The 20260-nt window shown below is 51.4% G+C and overlaps 2 protein-coding genes across 41 annotated transcripts in view, besides 1 other annotated feature; one reads left to right on the top strand and one right to left on the bottom strand.

The window, feature by feature from the left end:
- The window catches only part of SAMD4B (sterile alpha motif domain containing 4B), a 48344-nt gene extending 48092 nt beyond the window's left edge, over window positions 1–252 (bottom strand). For all 38 annotated transcript variants that reach the window (NR_169272.1, NR_169273.1, NR_169271.1 and 35 more), the window contains exon 1: window positions 97–252. The gene's annotated coding sequence lies outside the window, so the exon portion shown is untranslated. The remainder of the gene's footprint in view (window positions 1–96) is intronic.
- Window positions 134–563: a silencer, noted in NCBI's record as "silent region_10597". NCBI's record gives its function as "represses an Ori minimal core promoter by ATAC-STARR-seq in GM12878 lymphoblastoid cells {active_cell/tissue: GM12878}" and the evidence as "EXISTENCE:reporter gene assay evidence [ECO:0000049][PMID:35858748]".
- Window positions 6630–14314, top strand: GMFG (glia maturation factor gamma). 3 transcript variants are annotated; one of them, NM_004877.4, is made up of 7 exons: window positions 6630–6699; window positions 7142–7238; window positions 7363–7412; window positions 9547–9596; window positions 13047–13129; window positions 13600–13673; window positions 14125–14314. In NM_004877.4, exons 1-7 carry the CDS (start codon window positions 6697–6699, stop codon window positions 14194–14196), a joined length of 429 nt encoding a protein of 142 aa, NP_004868.1. In that variant the 5' UTR covers window positions 6630–6696; the 3' UTR covers window positions 14197–14314. The 3 variants fall into 3 exon arrangements, with proteins under 3 accessions (NP_004868.1, NP_001398035.1, NP_001287937.1); NM_001411106.1 differs by having other exon boundaries at window positions 7119–7238; NM_001301008.2 differs by lacking the exon at window positions 7142–7238.
- The last annotated feature ends 5946 nt before the right edge of the window (window positions 14315–20260 follow it).

The raw sequence follows: 20260 nt of genomic DNA, 5'->3' as shown, positions 1-20260 counted from the left end.
GGGGGCGGGGCCGCCCGCGCGGCCTGGGTCGCCCTGAGGGGAGCCCCGCGCGCCCCGACTCGCCGCCGCCCCGCGCCGGCCCGGCCCGAGACTCACCGCCTCGGCCTTCGCCGCCACCGCCGCCGCTCGGGCCTCCTCAGGCCACCGCCGCCGCCGTCGCCCCCTCTCGGGCCCGCAAGCTCCCCTCCCTCCTCCCGCACCGACCACCGCCGCCGCCGCCGCCGCCGCCGTCGCGCTGCGTCACCGCGCCGTGCGTCACCGCCCCTGGCCCCGCCCCGACGGGGGCCGCCGCGCGCCGGCATTAGCTCACGCCCGGGTGACGAACGGCGCGCCAGCCAACGGGCGGCGAGGGCAGCCCGAAGGGCGGGAGGTGTGAGCCGAGTAAGGCGGGGTCGCGGCGAGGGGGGAGCGACGGTGGTGGAACGGGGCCCAAGAGGCCCGCCCCCTCCTCGGCGGGATTGGTCGGACGTGGGGGTGACGGGCAGTCGGCCAGGCCTGGGGTTTGGGGCTGGGGGGCGGGGAAGGGGCGGGGCGCGCGGGGCGTTGCCCAGGGCAACGGGCCCGGCGGAGTCTGAGGTTGGGCCTCCAGGCCCGCAGGGGGCAGGCTCGCGCGCGTCCACCCCAGCTGCCCCGAGCGAAGTCACAGTTCCTGATTCAGGCGTTCCAGGCCTCCTCTTCCCCGCCCCTTGGGTGGCCCGCCTCACCCAAGGCTGTCCTCAGTGGGCGTCTGCACTCGGGCTTCTGGGCGCTCGGCTTTCTCATCGCGCTGTTCTCAGCCTTGCCGCTTGCTCTCTCCGATGGGAATGGCGAGGCGAGATCTAGCCTTTAGGGTGGGAAGAGAATGCACAGAAAGCGCTAAGGATCAAGGAGGCTGTCAATAAACGGGAGTTGTTGCTGTGACTTTGGTTGTGATCTGTGCGTTCCACAAACTGTATTGGGTCCGGGTGAACTAATCAGAGGGACCTGTGTTCAGAAGGCTCTCGGTGACAGAGATCTGGCTTGTTACAGGCACTTAGAGAGGCAGTCGGGATGGAGGGTCGAGTTGAAGACAGGGAGGGGTGAGGAACGAGCAGAGGCCAGTTGTTTGGCCACTTGAGGGAGTTTGGACTTGTCCCGAGGGCACTAGGGAGCCGTGAAGGGCTTCAAGCCGGGGAGGATCATGGTGAGTCTGGGGTTTTGGAGAGATGTCTCTCTGGCTTATACATGGAGGGCGGATTGGAGGGAATGAAACGGGATCGGGAGTCCAGGGAGGCAGCTGGGGGAGGGGGTGGGGAAGAAAGAGGGGGTTTGCACGAGGGAGGGACTGTGGGGAGGGAAGGAGGTGCAGGTGGGAGGGACGCCCTGGAGGCAGAGCGAACGGGCCCTGACACTGGCTGGCTATGGAGTGGAAGGGGGAGAAAAGTTTAGGACCAGGCCCCTCTAGCCGGGAGACTGGGCGCCAGAAGCAGGTTGGGAAGATACTAAGCCCAATGTGGATGCCTAGTAGCGAGGTCCAGGAGGTGCACAAACCCTGGGTCTGGAGCTTAAGGGAGAAATTGAGGCTGGAGACCAAGATTTAAGGATCGTCAAAGATGGTAATTGAGGCTGTGGGAGTTAGGGGTCTAGCCCGGGGAGGGTATGAAGGGTCACTGGAGACAGGGACTGAACAGAACCCTGAAACAGAGAGGCAGGATTTGAGCAAAGGAATTGACGCTGTCGATGAATATTGCAAAAGGCAGCCAGAGAGAGGAAAACCAGGAGAGTGTGGCATTATAGACGCTTTGAGGAAAGGCTGTTTCACCAGGGTGGGGCCATGTCACAAACCCCATCCACTACCTCCTGCATTTAAGCAACAGCCTTCACACTGCATAGAATTATTGTGCTCATTAACTGCTGGTTCATTAATTCATTCAATAATATTTCTTGACTATCTAATATGTGCCAGGCTCTGCTTAAGGTGCTAGAAACACAACAATAGGATGAGCGCGGTGGCTCACACCTGTAATCCCAGCATTTTGGGAGGCCGAGGCAGGTGTTCGAGACCAGCCTGACCAACATGGTGAAATCCCATCTCTACTAAAAATACAAAATTAGCGGGGCGTGGTGGCACATGCCTGTAGTCCCAGCTACTTGGGAGGCTGAGGCAAGAGAATCGCTTGAACCCGGGTGGCGGAGGTTGCAGTGAGCCAAGATCGTGCCATTGCACTCCAGCCTGGGCAACAACAGTGAAACTCCGTCTCAAAAAAAAAACAAAAAAAAAACAAAAAGACTTACATTCTAGTTCTTGGGGACACAAACAATAAGGAAATACAGTGTAACTTCGTGATAAGTACCAAGGAGAAAAAGAAAGCAGTGGCTGGGCATGGTGACTCATGCCTGTAATCCCAGCACTTTGGGAGGCTGAGGCTGGTGGATCACTTGAGGCCAGGAGTTTGAGACCAGCCTGGCCAAAGTGGCAAAACCCTGTCTCTACTAAAAATGCCAAAAATTAACTGGGCATAGTGATGCGTGCCTGTAGTTCCAGCTACTCAGGAGGGTGAGGCAGGAGAATCACTTGAACCCAGGAGTCGGAGGTTGCAATAAGCCGAGATTTGCCATTGCACTCTAGCCCAGGTGACAGAGCGAGACTATGTCTCTAAATAAATAAACAAATAAATAACAAGAAAGCAGCTAAGGGAATGGAGTAATGCAGCCAGAATTAATTTACATGGGGAAAGGCCTCTTTCATTAGGTGAGACTGAAACAGAAATCTGAAGGAATGAAGGAGAAAGTGGGTTCCAGAAAGAGAAAACAGCAAGTGCAAAGGCCATGTAGTAGGATCATTCACAGAACCACAAAGGGGCCAGCATTGCTGGAGTGGAGTGAGCAAAAGAGGGCAGTGAAGGACAAGGTCCAAGAGGCAATGGGGTAGGGGTGGTGACAGATAACTTAGTATTTTAGTCATTGTTGGTGTGTGTGTGTGTGTGTGTGTGTGTGTGTGTGGGGGGGGGGGGCAGGGTCTCACTCTGTTGCCCAGACTGGATTGTAGTGGTGCGATCGCGGCTCACTGCAACCTCGGCTCACTGCAACCCCTGCCTCCTGGGTTCAAGTGATTCTCCTGCCTCAGCCTCTGGAGTAGCTGGAACTACAGCCGTATGCCATCAAACCTGGCTAAGTTTTGTATTTTTAGTAGAGATGGGGTTTCACCATGTTGCCCAGGCTGGTCTTGAACTCCTGGACTCAAGTGATCTGCCTGCCTCGGCCTCCCAAAGTGTTGGGATTACAGGCGTGAGCCACTGCGCCTGGCCTGCTGTTTGGTTTTTAGAGATAGGATCTTACTCTGTCACCTGGGCTGGAGTGCAGTGGTGTGATCCTAGCTCACTGCAGCCTCAAACTCCTGGGCTCAAGTGATCCTCCCAACCTCAGCCTCCCAAGTAGCTGGTACCTGGGATTACAGACACATGCCACCATGCCCGGCTACTTTTAAAATTTTTTTGTAGAGACAAGGTCTTGCTATGTTGCCCAGGCTGGTCTTGAACTCCTGGTCTCAAGCAATTCTCCTGCCTTGGCCTCCCAAAGTGCTGGGATTACAGGCATGAGCCACTGTGTCTGGCCCATGGGAGGGTTTGAGACCAGCCTGGCCAACATGGTAAAACCCTGTCTCTACTAAAAATACAAAAATATGGCTAGGCGCGGTGGCTCACACCTGTAATCCCAGCACTTTGGGAAGCTGAGGTGGGCTGATCACGAGGTCAGGAGTTCGAGACTAGCCTGACCAACATGGTGAAACCCCGTCTCTACTAGAAATACAAAAATTAGCTGGTTGTGGTGGCGCACACCTGTAATCCCAGCTACTCATGAGGCTGAGGCAGGAGAACTGCTTGAACCTGGGAGGTGGAGGTTGCAGTGAGCCGAGATTGTGCCACTGCACTCCAGCCTGGGTGACAGAGAGACACTCCATCTCAAGAAAAAAAAAAAAAAATTAGCCGGGTGTGGTGGCTCACGCCTGTAATCCCAGCTACTTGGGAGGCTGAAGTGAGAGAATCGCTTGAACCCAGGAGGCGGAGGTTGCGGTGAGCTGAGATGGTGCCACTGTACTCCAGCCTGGGTGACAGAGCGAGACCCCTGTCTCAAAAAAAAAAAAAAAGAAAAGAAAAAAAGAAAACCAGGCAAGTGTGGTGTCATGAAGACGATGTTTCAGGGAACAGGGAGTGATGGGCTGTGTCAGATGTGGCTGAGGAGGAGTGAGAATTGACCATTAGATCCAGCACCGTGGAGTGCATGGGTGACCTTGACAAGGGCATGTCAGCTGAGAGGAATACAGGTGAAAGGCTGATTGGAGAAGGCAGAAGAGAAAACTGGGAGGAGAAATTGGAGGCAGCAATGTAGATTATTCTTTTGAGAAATCTTTTTTTTTTTTTTGAGAAGGAGTCTCACTCTGTCACCCAGGCTAGAGTGCAGTGGCGCAATCTTGGCTCACTGCAAGCTCCGCCTCCTGGGTTCACGCCATTCTCCTGCCTCATCCTCCTGAGTAACTGGGACTACAGGCACCTGCCACCACGCCCGGCTAATTTTTTGTATTTTTAGTAGAGACGGGGTTTCACCTTGTTAGCCAGGATGGTCTCGATCTCCTGACCTCGTGATCCACCCGCCTTGGCCTCCCAAAGTGCTGGGATTACAGGCATGAGCCACCACGCCCGGCCTCTTTTGAGAAATCTTGCAGAAAAGGGAAGGAAATGAGTGAGCAGCAGCTGGACAGGAGATACAGTTTTATGTTTTTAAGATGGAAGAGGCCAGACACAGTGACTCACGCCTGTAATCCCTGCACACCAGGAGGCTGAGGCAGGAGGATCGCTTGAGGCCAGGAGTTTGAGGCCAGCCTGGGCCACATAGCGAGATCCTGTCTCTATAAAAATCAAAAGTAAAATTGGCCAGGCATGGTGTTGCGTGCCTATAGTCCCAGCTACCTAGGAGGCCAAGGTGGGAAGGTGGCTTGAGCCCAGGAGTTGGAGACTGCAGTGAGCCATGATTACACCGCTGCACTCCAGCCTGGGTAACAGAATGAGACCCTGTCTCAAAATAAAAGAAAAAAAGAAAAGAAAAAAATTAAGATGGAAGAAGTAACACTGCATGGAGGCTAAGGAGAAAGATCCAGGAGGCATGGGGACGTTGGTGAGACAAGAGGGAGAGAGAGGACAGCTGCAGAGATGTAGGTGAAGGGGTAGAGTCCAGTGTAGGGTCCGGGGTTTGCCCACCATGGAGGGAAGTGGGCCAGTCACAGTTGGCCTAGGACCCTGTGGAAATTGTCTTTTGTTTGCTTTTATCTTCTCACTGAAATACATATGGTTTTTGTGTGAACTACATTCCTTTTATTTCTTCTTTATATGACAGTCAGGACATTATATTGATTTTTTTTTGAATTTATGTGTGTAAGTAGGTTATATTATCTAGGAATTTTATTTCGGGATGGGAAAAGGGGGCAGTGCAAAAATACTCAATAAAAAAAATAGCCGGGCATGGTGGCTCACAGTGGCTCACACCTGGAATCCCAGCACTTTCGGAGGCTGAGGCAGGTGGATCATTTGAGGTCAGGAGTTCGAGACCAACATGGCCAACATGGTGAAACCCCATCTCTACTAAAAATACAAAAATTAGCCGGGCGTAGTGGCACGTGCCTGTAGTCCCAGCTACTTGGGAGGCTGAGGCCGGAGAATGGCTTGAACCTGGGAGGCGGAGGTTGCAGTGAGCTGAGATCGCACCACTGCACTCCAGCCTGGGCGACAGAGTGAGACCCTGTCTCAAAAAAAAAAAATTGGGTACCGGTCTGACGGGATTGAACTCCCTTGTTGTAGGGCCTCATAGGTCATTGCAAGGCTAGTGAGGTTGGAAAAGTGCAGGAAAAAAGTCACCATTACCCAGGCACTGTGGGGTTGCCCCTCTGGTCCCCATTTTGCCATTGACATAATGGGCGTCAGTCTGACCAGCAAAAGACTAAACTCCCCTTTTCCAGCCCTGCAATTCAAATATCCCAGATGGGGGTAAATCTAGGAAGGCCACCTGGAGGAGGGGAGGAGCAAAATAGTTCGTTTTTAGTACCTATTGTGTCTGCCATGCTGGCAGCTATGTGAAGCTATTTATTTATTTATTTTTATTTATTTGTATTTTTATTGCCTGGGATAGAGTGCAATGATGTGATCTTGGCTCACTGCAACCTCTGCTGCTCGGATTCAAGCAATTCTTGTGCCTCAGACTCCCGAGTAGCTGGGATCACAGGCGTGCACCACCATGCCAGGCTAATATTTTGTATTTTTAGTAGAGATGGGGTTTTGCCATGTTGGTCAGGCTGGTCTCCAACTCCTGACCTCAGGTGATCCGCCCGCCTCGGCCTCCCAAAGTGCTGGCATTACAGGTGTGAGCCACCATGCCCGGCCGATGTGAAGCTATTTATATCCTCACCACAATCTCAAATCAGAGGGGTGAAGTTACTTAGCTAGGGTCACACAGCAAGGAAGCTTTGGAACCCTGGTCTGAGCGATTTCCTGACAGGTCCTGGCAGATGAGGGGAAGGAAGGAGGGGGAGGAGCCCTCTGTGACAGTTGTCCCAGAAAGGGCATAAACAGGATGTGGTGTTGGATGAAACCTTCCTCCTACTGCACAGCCCGCCCCCCTACAGCCCCGGTCCCCACGCCTAGAAGACAGCGGAACTAAGAAAAGAAGAGGCCTGTGGACAGAACAATCATGGTCAGGGGCCAGGGGTTCTATGGGAAGAGCTGGGGCTGGGGTTGGGGCTGGGGCTTGGAGGACACCTGGGCGAAGGTCAGGCTATGGGATGGAGGTCACGGGCCGGGAAGGGGGCCCAACTGTGGTGAACAGCCCGGCTGGAAGAACAGAGAGACAGTGGCTCTGGGTTTAGGCTCAGGAAGTGGATCTCTGCACCTCCTTGAGTGTCCCCCAAGAGTCCCCGTGGAGAAGGCGGGAACCCAGCCTCTGCTCCGCCCCCCAAGCTGAGTGCCCTGGTGAGGGGTATCTACTCTGTGGGAAGGGTGCCTTTTCTCAATGTTCACAAAGGCATCAGATGGGCCGGCGCGATGCTCCTCTTCATTAGTGGATGGAGAAACAGGTTTGGGGAAGGGGTGAGGGCTGAGGCCAGGCCATTTCAGCTCTTCCTGGGTCCCTCCGGCAGTCTGACTCCCTGGTGGTGTGCGAGGTAGACCCAGAGCTAACAGAAAAGCTGAGGAAATTCCGCTTCCGAAAAGAGACAGACAATGCAGCCATCATAAGTGAGTGACATCTTCCCCCACAGAAGGATGGGAGGGCGGTGGTGAGGGCAGATAGGGAGGGCTGGGCTTGTGTCCCCCATGGATCAGGGGGAGTGTCTAATCCCTGTGTGCCACCCCTCCCCAGTGAAGGTGGACAAAGACCGGCAGATGGTGGTGCTGGAGGAAGAATTTCAGGTGATGGGCTGGGGTGATTGGGACTGGGAGGTACAGGGTGAGACTGGGAGAACCAAGTGGTTGGAACTGATATGAAGAGCCTGGCATGGGGGTAGAAAGACCTGGAGATTGGCCGAGCACAGTGGCTCATGCCTGTAATCCCAGCACTTTGGGAGGCCGAGGCAGGTGGATCACCTGAGGTTGGGAGTTCAAGACCAGCCTGGCAAACATGGTGAAACCCCATCTGTACTAAAAATATAAAAAGTTAGCTAGGCATGGTGGTGGGCACCTGTAATCACAGCTACTTGGGAGGCCGAGGCAGGAGAATCGCTGGAACCCGGGAGATGGAGGCTGTAGTGAGCCGAGATTGTGCCACTACACTTCAGTCTGAACCACAGAGCAAGACTCTGTCTCAAAAACAAAAACAAAAAACAAAAAAACAAAAAACCCTGGAGATCAAGTTCTAGCTCACTCATGACCCCCAGCAAGAGACTTTGCCTGTTTGTGTCTCTATTTCCTCATCTGTGAAATGGGGAGAATAGTACTTATCTCATAGGCTTGTTTTTACATCCAGTGATTTAATTCTTGTAATGGGTTTAGAACAAGGCCTGGCACTTAGTATGTGCTCAATAAGGTGATGATGATCTTAATAATGATGATAATAATGCTTTATTGGCATTTAAATGAAAGAGTTTCCATATAAGTTAAAAAGCTAGCCAGGCATGGTGGCTCATGCCTGTAATCCCAGCGCTTTGGGAGGCTGAGGCAGGAGGATCACTTGAGCCCAGGAGTTTAAGACCAGCCTGGGCAACATGGTAACACCCTAACTCTACTAAAAATACAAAAATTAGCCAAGCACAGTGGTGTGCACCTGTGATCTCAGCTACACAGGAGGCTGAGGTGGGAGGGTTGCTTGAGGCTGGGAGTTTTGAGACCAACCTGGGCAACAAAGCAAGACCCCATCTCGGCTGGGTGCCGTGGCTCACGCCTGTAATCTCAGCACTTTGGGAGGCTGAGGCGGGCGGATCACAAGGTCAGGAGATCGAGACCATCCTGGCTAACATGGTGAAACCCCGTCTCTACTAAAAATTCAAAAAATTAGCTGGGTGTGGTGGCGGGTGCCTGTAGTCCCAGCTACTCGGGAGGCTGAGGCAGGAGAATGGCGTGAACCCCGGAGGCGGAGCTTGCAGTGAGCCAAGATCGTGCCACTGCACTCCAGCCTGGGCGACAGACTCTGTCTCAAAAAAAAAAAAAAAAAAAAAAAGACTCCATCTCTACAAAAAAAAAAAAGGGGGTAGACCTCACCCCCCTGGTGGCCTCACTGTCTTTATCAATAACAAGAATGATAATAAGGCTTATTTCTCTAGTGTTGCGATAAGGATTTATAAGGGAATCCATGGAGACTGGGGGCTGGGGCTCTCTCAGGCCCTCTGAAAGGCAGTATAGTGAAGCAGTTATGATTCGAACCCAGATTCAAATCTCAACTCTGCTGCTTTCTATCTGTGCAATCTTGGGCAAATGCCTTAACACCTCTGGGCCTCAGTTTTCTCAGCTGTATAGTGGGCATAATGATGGGACCTACCCCACAGACTTACGGGATAGTTGCATGAATTAATCCATGTGTGTTTCATAGAACGATGCCTTGGCACATGGTAAGTGCTCACCTAAAGGTGGTCATTCTTTTTTTTTTTTTTTTTTTTGAGACGGAGTTTCGATCTTTTTTGCTCAGGCTGGAGTGCTATGGCACAATCTTGATTCACTGCAACCTCCGCCTCCCGGGTTCAAGCAATTCTCCTGCCTCAGCCTCCTGAACACGCCTGGCTAATTTTTTTGTTGGAAATGGAGTCTCACTCTGTCTCCCAGGCTGGAGTGCAGTGGCGCGATCTCGGCTCACTGCAACCTCTGCATCCCGGATTCAAGCAATTCTCCTGCCTCAGCCTCTCGAGTAGCTGGGACTACAGGTGCATGCCACCATGCCTGGCTAATTTTCTGTATTTTTAGTAGAGACGGGTTTCACCCTGTTAGCCAGGATGGTCTGAATGATTTCCTGACCTTGTGATCCGCCTGCCTCGGCCTCCCAAAGTGCTGGGATTACAGGTGTGAGCCACTGCGCCCTGCCTCATTCTTTGTCTTTTCTTCTGTTTTCTTGCCTCAGAACATTTCCCCAGAGGAGCTCAAAATGGAGTTGCCGGAGAGACAGCCCAGGTATCCTGGGGGAAGAAAGGGTTGGATCAGGCCATGAGGGGAGGGGTGATGTTGGAGGTATAGGCTAAGGGACTGCTGGAGTTCCAGCCCTATTCATGGACTTTGAATCTCTGTGTTTGGCCGAGTGAGGTGGCTCATCCCTGTAATCCCAGCACTTTGGGAGGTCAAGGAGGGTGGATCACTTGAGGTCAGGAGTTCAAGACTAGCCTGACCAACATGGTGAAATCCCGTCTCTACTAAAAATACAAAAATTAACTGGGCGTGGTGGCATGTGACTGTAATCCCAGCTACTTGGGAGGCTGAGGCACGAGAATCGCTTGAACCTGGCAGGCAGAGGCTGCAGTGAGCTGAGATCACACCACTGCACTCCAGCCTGGGTGACACAGCGAGACTCTATCTCAAAAAAAAAAAAAAAAAAAAGAATCTCTGTGTTTGAGGCCAAGAGTTCATACTCTAGAACTTTTTGTTTGTATAGCAATATTTTATTGCAGAATTTTATACCGATTATTTATGATACCGGTTTAAGAGTCTTTTTTTTTTTTTTGTACAAACTTTGTTGAGTTTTTGTTTCAACATTACGCTGGCATCATTTTTTAAAAATGAAATTTTGGCCAGGTACTATGACTCCCACCTGTAATCTCAGCCCTTTGGGAGCCTGAGGCGGGAGGATCACCTGAGGCCAGGAGTTCGAGACTAGCCTGGGCAACATAGCAAGACCTTGTCTCTATTTTTTTTTTTTTTTTGTTAGAGACAGAGTCTCGCTCTGTTGCCCAGGTTGGAGTGCAGTGGCGCGATCTTGACTCACTGCAACCTCCGCCTCCTGGGTTCAAGCGATTCTCTGGCCTCAGCCTCCTGAGTAGCTGGGATTACAGGGGCCCACCACCATGTCTGGATAATTTTTGTATTTTTAGTAGAGACATGTTGGCCAGGCTGGTCTCGAACTCCTAACCTCAGGTGATCCCTGCTTCGGCCTCCCAAAGTGCTGGGATTACAGGCGTGAGCCACCGCGCCTGGTGGAGGACCTTGTCTCTATTAAAAAAAAAAAAAATTAGCCAGGCATGGTGGCATGTGCCTGTGGTTCCAGCTACTTGGGAGGCTGATGTCGGGGGTCAGTTGAGTTCAGGAAGCTGAGGCTGCAAGTGAGCCAAGATAGCACCCCTGTACTCCAGCCTGGGTGACAGAGCAAGACCCTGTCTCAAAAAAACAAAAAAAGAAATTTTCCTTCTTTTTCAATGTTTGGGAACACTTTAGGTAGCAAACAAATTAATTATTATTATTGTTATTTTATTAAAAAAATTTTTAGAGACAGGGTCTCACTGTGTCACCCAGGCTATTGGGCAGTGCTGTGATCCTGGCTCACTGTAGCCTCTAACTCCTGGGCTCAAGCCATCCTCCTGCCTCAGCCTCCCAAGTAACTGGGACTACAGGCACTGCCACTGCACCCTGCTAAAGGAATGACTCGACTTTTAACTATCAGGTAGAATCCTGGGCGAAGTCACATGAGCCTGGTGCTTTTTTTGGTGGAAGAGCTCTTTGACTATTTCTGTGAAAACTGGTCTGCTAAGATTTTTCATCTTGACTGAATTCATTTTGGGTCTCTAGGATTAGAGGCTGTAGGACTCAACAAGGACCAGCTTCATGGGCATATGATAATTGCACAGGGCCCCGCACCCAGGAGGGGGCCTCACACATGGGGGTTAACGGTCACCTTCTTTATAGTTTTATCTTTGAATTTCTGTTTTGTATGAAGTCAGATGGGACAATGGACTTCACACAAATGTGCTGGGGTTTGGAGCTAGGTTCACAGGCAGTCCACCACCTGGCTGCCTCCCTGAACAGGTTCTCAGCCACCCACTCTCTGCACCCACCCAGTGACCGCTGCTGTCCTTGGGTTTCCTGCTGGTGTAGGGAGGGTCAGGGTCCAGAAGGCACCCCTTGCCTGACAAGTTACAGGGTGTTCCTGTGAGCATCTGCACTCTGCCTGCGCATATCCTCATGCCCGAGGGAGCACGACTTTAAATAGCAAACTAAAAAAGACAGGCTGAGCGCAGTGGCTCACACCTGTAATCTCAGCACTTTGGGAGTCTGAGGTGGGAGTACTGCTTGTGGCCAGGAGTTCAAGACCAGCCTGGGCAACATAACAAGACCCCCATTTCTACTAAAATTTTTTAAAAAAAGGCCAGGCGCAGTGGCTCATGCCTGTAATCCCAGCACTTTGGGAGGCTGAGGTGGACAGATCACTTGAGCTCAGGAGTTCGAGACCAGCCTGGGCAACATGGTGAAACTCTGTCTCTGCAAAAAACACAAAAAACATTAGCTGGATGTGGTGGCACGCCCCTGTAATCTCAGCTACTTGGGGGGCTGAGGCAGGAGGATCACCTGAACCTGGGAGGTCGAGGCTGCAATGAGCTGAGACCACGTCCCTGTACTCCAACCTGGGTGACAAAGTGAGACCCTGTCTCAAAAAAAAAAAAAAAAAAATTAGCTGGGCATGGTGGTGTGCACCTATACTCCCAGCTACTCTGGAGGCTGAGATAGGAGGATTGCTTGAGCCCAGGAGTTCAAGACTGCAGTGAGCTAGGATCGCACCATTGCACTCCAGCCTGGGCAACAGAGTGAGGCCCTGTCTCTAATAACAGTAAAAAAAAAAGACGATGATCAGTCTAGAGAGAGACTACAAAAGAAAGGAAAACAATTTTCCTGCTTCTTGAACAAGATGCCCCACATTTTCATTTTATACCGGGCTTGGATGATTCTGTAGCCATCACTGGTCACAGTGCACCTGGGGTTCAAGTGCACTGGACAGAATTGCATAGGGGGTGAGAACTTACACGCTGGCATTCACTTTCCCAGGTTCAAATCTCTCCCCTATCTGTAGAACCTTAGGCAAGTGACTTTGGGCCTCAGTTTTCTCATCTGTACGATGGGGATATTAATAGCACCTATATTATAAAGTAATTGTGAGTCAAATGAGCACTATCATTATTATTATTATTTGAGATGGAGTTCCACTTTTGTCACCCACGCTGGAGTGCAATGGCGTGATCTTGGCTCACTGCAACCTCTGCCTCCTGAGTTCAAGCGATTCTCCTGCCTCAGCCTCCTGACTAGCTGGGATTACAGGCGCCCACCACTACTCCAGGCTAATTTTTGTATTTTTAGTAGAGACGAGGTTTCACCATGTTGGCCAGGCTGGTCTCGAACTCCTGATCTCAGGTGATCCACCCGCCTCGGCCTCCCAAAGTGCTGGGATTATAGGTGTGAGTCCTGCGCCCGGCCCTATGATTATTTTTTAATCATTTGTTGTGTTTGAGGTCAGTACCCTGAGTCCCAGACATCAACCCTGGGTTCTCAGACTCAGCCAACATTTCAAGGCTGTGGACTCAGGTAATGGCTGTTAAGCCTGGGCTGCAGGCCAGAGTCCTGATTTTCAATTCCCTTTCACGGTAGGTTCGTGGTTTACAGCTACAAGTACGTGCATGACGATGGCCGAGTGTCCTACCCTTTGTGTTTCATCTTCTCCAGCCCTGTGGGTGAGACACAGCTCTACTGTCCTCAGGAGAGGGTCTTCGATTCTGTGTGTGTGTGTTTGTGTGTAAATGCGAATGTGTGCAGGCACTTGTGTAAGAGTGTGAGCATGTGACAGCCTGTGTGTGACTGGGTGAGGATGTGTGTGTGTCGCACGCATGATGTGGGAGGGCAGTGAAGTGGAGGTGGGGGCTCAGATTCACCAAGAGCCCACCCGTTCTCAGTCCTGGGGCCTAAGCCAACCCACCTTTTCCTTTCACCTAGAAATCCCCGTCTGGCCCCTAAATCATCTCCAGAGACCCTCAGAATAACTTGAAGCCCCCAAGCCAACCTAGAAACTGAGTACAGTGCAGGGACCTCCTTAGAAGAGCTCCTAGGACCCTTGGCAAGCTGCAGGGCCTTCAGGACATTACTAGAGCTTTAGAGAACACGCCTGGGTCCCCACTGATGTGCCTTTCTCCTCTTTTCCACGCAGGCTGCAAGCCGGAACAACAGATGATGTATGCAGGGAGTAAAAACAGGCTGGTGCAGACAGCAGAGCTCACAAAGGTTCAGACTGGGATGGGGCTCCAGAGTGTTAGGGAGAGGTGGTGTGGGTCCTGGGTCTGAGGGAAGAGGGACTAGAGTCCTCACTGTCTCAGTGGTTTTTGTTTTTGTTTTTGTTTTTTTAAAGAACTGGGTCTCGCTCTGTCATCCAGGCTGGAGTGCAGTGGCACAACCTCGGCTCACTGCAACCTCCTCCTCCTGGGTTCAAGCAATTCTCCTGCCTCAGCCTCCCAAGTAGTGGGACGACAGGCACACGCCACCACACCTGGCTACTTTTTGTATTTTTAGTAGAGTCAGGGTTTCACCATATTGGCCAGGCTGGTCTCGAACTCCTGACCTTAAGTGATCCACCCACCTCAGCCTCCCAAAGTGCTCTCTTACAGGTGAGCCACCGTGCCCAGCCACTGTCTCAGTGTTTGAGTAGATCATAATGCCGAGACCTCTCTCTGCCCAGGTGTTCGAAATCCGCACCACTGATGACCTCACTGAGGCCTGGCTCCAAGAAAAGTTGTCTTTCTTTCGTTGATCTCTGGGCTGGGGACTGAATTCCTGATGTCTGAGTCCTCAAGGTGACTGGGGACTTGGAACCCCTAGGACCTGAACAACCAAGACTTTAAATAAATTTTAAAATGCAAAAACTCGGAGATCCTCAGTTTGGACTCAGTTTCTGCCTCTTCTGGGCTCTAGCCGACGGTTCCTGCAGTACGAGGCTTGGGCCAGCAGGGGGCGGGCTGACCTAGAGGAATGCGAGCTGGGTCCCGGGAGGGAAGGAGGATACCTCTTTCTTAGAAAGAAAGGGAAGGGCCTGAAGGATTTCCTTGGGGGGTGGGGGACGGATGGGCGAGGCCTGGGTCTCCTGGAGGTATTGGGGAAATATCTGGATCTACAGAGCGGTCACTCCCAAGGGGAACAAGGACCCCTGAGAATAAAGGAGGCAAAGTGCCCGTTTCCTCCCCCACTCCCCACCTCTGGGGGGTAGGAGGCATCACCGAATGCGACTTTTCTCAGCTGAGCCCTTAGATAGGAAGAATTTAAAGGCCGAAGAGGTTTGAACGTAATTGCTTCAGGATCTCAGGAGCTGCTGGGGGGTGGATGGTTTGTACGGTCAGGTAGGCCTGAACACCCAGGGCTGGGGAAGCTGAAGTCGATCCTGGGCCCTCGGTGGACTCCCAGGGGTGTGAGATTGAGGAGACAGGGAAGGGACACTTGCCCCCATCTGAAGATTCTTCTTTTCTTTTTTCTGGCATCTCTTGACATCGAACTTTCTCAGGCTTTCTGCGTCTGTCTCTGAGGGACATTGATTAAGTACCCACAATGTACCGGGCTCTGAGAATTCCGAGATGGGCAGGTCTTCACAGAGATGAATCACACCCTTTCTGTCTCTCTGCTTCTCTTCCATGTTTCTAATTGTTCCCCTCTCTGTCCCCGGTTTCAGGGACGTGGGAACTCCCTCCCCCCACCCCTTTTCAGGTTCCCGGTAGAGAGGTGGCTGTTGCCATGGTAACAAAGACATAGTGACCTTGGGCCTGGGCTGCCCGTTCCCCCAACCTTGGTGTTTCCGGGGATAGGGTCCAAAAAGCCCAGCTCCAAGCCCTCCCAGCCTTAACACACCATCCCCTTACCACCCCACTCTACCCTATCTCTTGCCCGCTCACCCCCAATCAGGGCAAGTCCTTTGCATGAGGGATTCGGGATAGAATCACTCTACACTGGTCCATAGAGAAAATTCACCCTGCCCTAAATTCTCTGGAGGGTTAGGTTGAGCTCCTCTGCCCTCCACTAGTGCTGTTTTCCTGTCCCTATCTCTCTGTCCCTCCCTCTGATCACAGGCCCAGTCCCTGAAGGCAGGAGATGGAGGAGGAGGAGGACTGGAGACAAGAGGGGTCATTCAATTAAATGGACAAGGAACTCCTGGCCTGCAGAGGTCAGAGAGGCAGAGGGACTCATCCAAGGTCATGCACTTACATGATCAAATGAATACTAATAGCTGACCCTCCTCTTGAGGGCTTCCTATGTACCAGGTACTTCTATAAGCAGTTTATAGGCATTAGCTTATTTAATTATTGCAATACCTCGTGAAAAAGGTACTATTATTCTCTCCAACTTAAAGACGATAAAAATCTGAGGCATAGAAGCCAAAGGCACCTGTGGTCTGTACAGTTAGAACTCTTTAAGCCCAGGCTATCTTGGGGGTCAATGGCCACACTCTCTCTTAGGCAAGAGACTTAGGGAACCTCCTCCTCCTCCCCGCTCCCCTCCCCCTCCCCTCCCCTTCCCTCTCCCCCTCCCCCTCCCCCCCCTCCTCCTCGTCCTCCTTGGTGGTACTCCCACCCTCCATAGTGGAACTTCTGTTTCATCCAGGCTTGTGATTACAAACGGTCCAATCAGAAAGAGCCATGCACAAGGACTTGCCCGATCAGGAGCAAAGCATGGGAAAGCAGGGGCCAATCAGAAAGGGTGGCTCACAGGCGCAGTCCAATGCAGAGGGAGTACAGCTAGGGATTGTGGAAGGACCAATCAGAGAGGCCAGAACAGACTGCACTATCCAATGAGGAGTCAGCACAATGGGACGTGTCTTCGGGTTTGGGGAGATTCCCTGGAGAGGCAGTACAAACTGGGGACCGCCTCCTCTAGTTCCACCAACCTATCCTATAAACGCCCACAGATCCAAGCTCCCTAAGTTTTGAGTCGGTGCCCTAGACTTGGGGGACTTCCTAACCTTGAAAGGGCCGGAATGGGCATTGCTTAGCTTTAAAAGGGCTGGAGTTTTTGCTTTGGGGCAGGGCCTAAGAGTCTGGGGGTGGGGCCTAGGCTTGGGGCGGGGCCAGAAGAATGGGATTGGTAGAGGGTCTGTATTAGGTTTGGGGCAGGAATTAGGGCTCCAGGGAAACAATTAAGATGTCTAGTTCAACCTGTTGCCCGTTTTTCAGGCCAACTCACACATTCCCTTACCTTATGGGACATTCTCCAGCTGCTGGGTATACCCTTTTCTTCTAGGGAACCTGGGCTAAGAGGTCGTTATTTATTCCTTCCTGTGGTCCCTGAACTGAGTCTGGAGCCAGACTAGATCCCCAGTCCTCTCCCAAGACGCATTTGAGAACACATGTTGGGCCAGGCACGGTGGCTCACGCCTGTAATCCCAGAGGATCACCTAAGGTCAGGAGTTCGAGACCAGCCTGGTCAACATGGTGAAACCCCATCTCTACTAAAAATACAAAAAAATAGCTGGGCGTGGTGGTACGTGCCTGTAATCCCAGCTACTCGGGAGGCTGAGGCCGGAGAATTCACTTGAGCCGGAGAGGCAGAGGTTGCAGTGAGCCGAGATCGCTCCATTGCACTCCAGCCTGGACAACAAGAGCAAAACTCCGTCTCCAAAATAAATAAATACATAAATAAATAAAAATAAAATAAAAAGAACACATGTTGTCTAGGTGCAGTGGCTCACACCTTGTAATCCCTACATTTTGGGGGGCCGAGGCTGGAAATCTTAGAGGCCGAGAGTGTGCGACCAGCCTGGACAACATAATGAGACCGCTTCTCTACAAAAAATAAAAAATTAGCTGGGTGTGGGGGTGCGTGCCTGTAGTTGGGAGGCTGAAGTGGGAGGATCACCTGAGCCTGGGGAGGTCGAGGCTGCAGTGAGCCATGATCACGCCACTGCACTCCAGCCTGGGTGACAGAGGGAGACCCTGTCTTTAAGAAAAGCACGTTTACTGAGTTCCTGGGTGGCAGTCACTATTCTGGGCACTGGAAGATGTTGGTGTCCGTGCCACTTCCCTTGGGAGGCTTATATTTCAATGACTAGACAGTAAATAAATAACAATAAATAGGTAAACAAGTAAACAAAATAAGAGGGTGACAAGAGCCAGGCGCAGTGGTTCACGCCTGTAATCCCAGCACTTTGGGAGGCCAAGGCAGGAGGATGGCTTGAGCCCAGGAGTTCGAGACCAACCTGGGCAACACAGCAAGACCTCATCTCTTTTTTCCTTTTAAAATAAAAATAAAGAGAGTGATAAATACTATAAGGGAAATAAATAAGGTGATGTGCTAGATAGAAATGGTGGCACCTGGTGGGGCTGTTTGTTGCCGCCAGAAGAGTCCTGCTTCCCCACTCCCTAACATTTACTATGAAACATTTCAAACATGCAGCCAAGTTGAAATAATTATATATATATGTGTGTGTGTGTGTGTATTATATATATATCTATATATATATTTATATAAAAGTTTATTAGAGATGGGGTCTCGCTATGTTGCCCGGCTGGTCTTGAACTCCTGGGCTCAACTGATCCTCCCTCCTCGGCCTCCCAAAATGCTGAGATTGCAGATGTGAGCCACCACGCCCAGCCTGAGTTGAAATAATTTTATAGTGAACACTCATATACCCATCACTTAGATGCCACCACTGACACGTCAAGGTATTACTTCATCATATATCCATCCAGCCACCCTTCTTCCTCCTCCTTCTCCTCCTCTTCCTCTTCTTCCTCCTCTTCTTCCTCCTTTCTTCTTCCTCCTCCTCCTTCTTCTTCCTCTTCCTTTCTTTTCTTCTCTCTTTTCTTTTCTCTTCTTCCTCCTCCTCTTCCTCCCCTCCTCCTCCTCCTCCTCCTCCTTCTTCTTCCTTTCTTCTCTCCTTCTCCTTCTTCTTCTATTTCAAAGTAACATCAGACTGCTGGTTGGGGGCCCAGGTAGGGATGGTGTGTGTAAATTGGGGATGGAAAAGGAAGGTCTCTTTGAAGAGATTACATTTAAGACCATCATGAAAAGAAAGAACCAGCAGCCATGGAAAGGGGAGAAGAGTGCATATGCTCAGGGGCTGCTGCTGTGGGCTGGTGTGTTGGAGGAATAGGAAAGTCATCGTAGAAGCTGAACAAGGGGTCGGATGCGGTGGCTCACACCTGTAATCCCAGCACTTTGGGAGACTGAGGTGGGCGGATCACTTGAGGTCAGGAGTTCGAGACCAGCTTGACCAACATGGCAAAACCCTGTCTCTACTAAAAATACAAAAATTAGCCGGGTGTGGTGGTGGGCGCCTGTGGTCCCAGCTACTCAGGCTGAGGTAGGAGAATCGCTTGAGCCTGGGAGGCAGAGGTTGCAGTAAGCCGAGATCATGCCACTGCACTCCAGCCTGGGTGACAGAGTGAGGCCCTGTCTCAAAAAAGAAAAGAAAAGTCATTGTTAAAACTGAAAGAGGGGCCAGGAGTGGTGGTGCACGCCTGTAAACCCAGCACTTTGGGAGGCTGAGGCGGGAGGATCACTTGATCCCAGGAGTTCCAGACCAGCCTGGGCAACATAGTGAGACCCCCATTTCTAAAAAAAAAAAGAAAAAAAAAAAAAAGAAGAAGAAGAAGCTGGAACAGAAGAGGAGAGTCGTTGGAAATAGGGTCAGCTGGGACCAGAGCTCACAGGGCCAGATTGGCTCTATGAATAAGGCATATCTCCCTCGGTTTCAGCTTCTTTCTTCTTCCATCTGTCTCTCTTATTATTATCTTTTTTTCTCTCCCTCTCTTTTCTACTCCTGTCCAGCCCAGGCCTACCCTCACCCTCTTTCCCCATCACCCCTACCCTGTTCTGCCACATACTATCTGTGTGACCTTGGGCAAGTGACCAAACCTCTCTGTGCCTCTATTTCCCTTATCCATAAAATGGGGATGGTAATAGGACCTCTTCATTTGGCTGTTGTGTAGATTGAATGAAGTGATAGATGTGAAACCCTTAGAATCATTTCTGGCACATAAATAGTGCTGTATATGTGTTCACTTGTGTTGTTGTTGTTATTCCTACCCCCAAGCTCCAGCAGGGAGCACTAGCAACCACGGTGGGAGGTGGGGATGCTGCCTGGGTGGTGGCGATGAAGGGTGGAGTCTGGAGAATAGGGGGATTGTGAGTGTCCCCAGGGACATCTCAGAGTTGCGCTTGGGGTTAAGGTTCACCAGAAGGAGTTATCTGCAGAGCTGAGCTTGATCTGGGGGATAGGGCGGGCTTCATGTAAATAATTTAGGCCAGGCACAGTAGCTCATGACCACCGTGGTCAGGAGTTCAAGACCAGCCTGGGCAACATAGTGAGACTCCATTTATAAAAAAACTAAAACAAAACCAAAAACAAAACAGCTACTGAGGAGGCTGAGATGGGAGGAACACTTGAGCCCAGGAGGTCCAGGCTGCAGTGAGCTGTGATCACACCAGTGCACTCCTGCCTGGGTGATGGAGTGAGACTCTGACTCAAAAACAAACAAATAAAAAAAAAGAAAGAAAGAAAAATTAGACTGGGTGCGGTGGCTCATGCCTGTAATCCCAGCACTTTGGGAGGCTGAGGCGGGCGGATCACTTGAGGCCAAGAGTTCGAGACCAGCCTGGCCAACATGACAAAACCCTGTCTCCACTAAAAATACAAAAAGTAGCCAGGCATGGTGGGACATGCCTGTAGTCCCAGCTACTCGGAAGGCTGAGGCAGGAGAATTGCTTGAACCCGGGAAGCAGAGGTTGCGGTGAGCGGAGACCATGCCAGTGCACTCCAGCCTGGGCAACAGAGCAAGACTCTGTCTCAAAAAAAAAAAAAAAAAGAAAAGAAAAAAGAAAAAGAAAAGAAA

This window comes from Homo sapiens, chromosome 19 (assembly GCF_000001405.40).
Source record: "Homo sapiens chromosome 19, GRCh38.p14 Primary Assembly".
Taxonomy (NCBI): Eukaryota; Metazoa; Chordata; class Mammalia; order Primates; family Hominidae; genus Homo; species Homo sapiens.
Note: the sequence above shows the minus strand (reverse complement) of the source record. Positions and strands in the feature narration are given on the sequence as shown.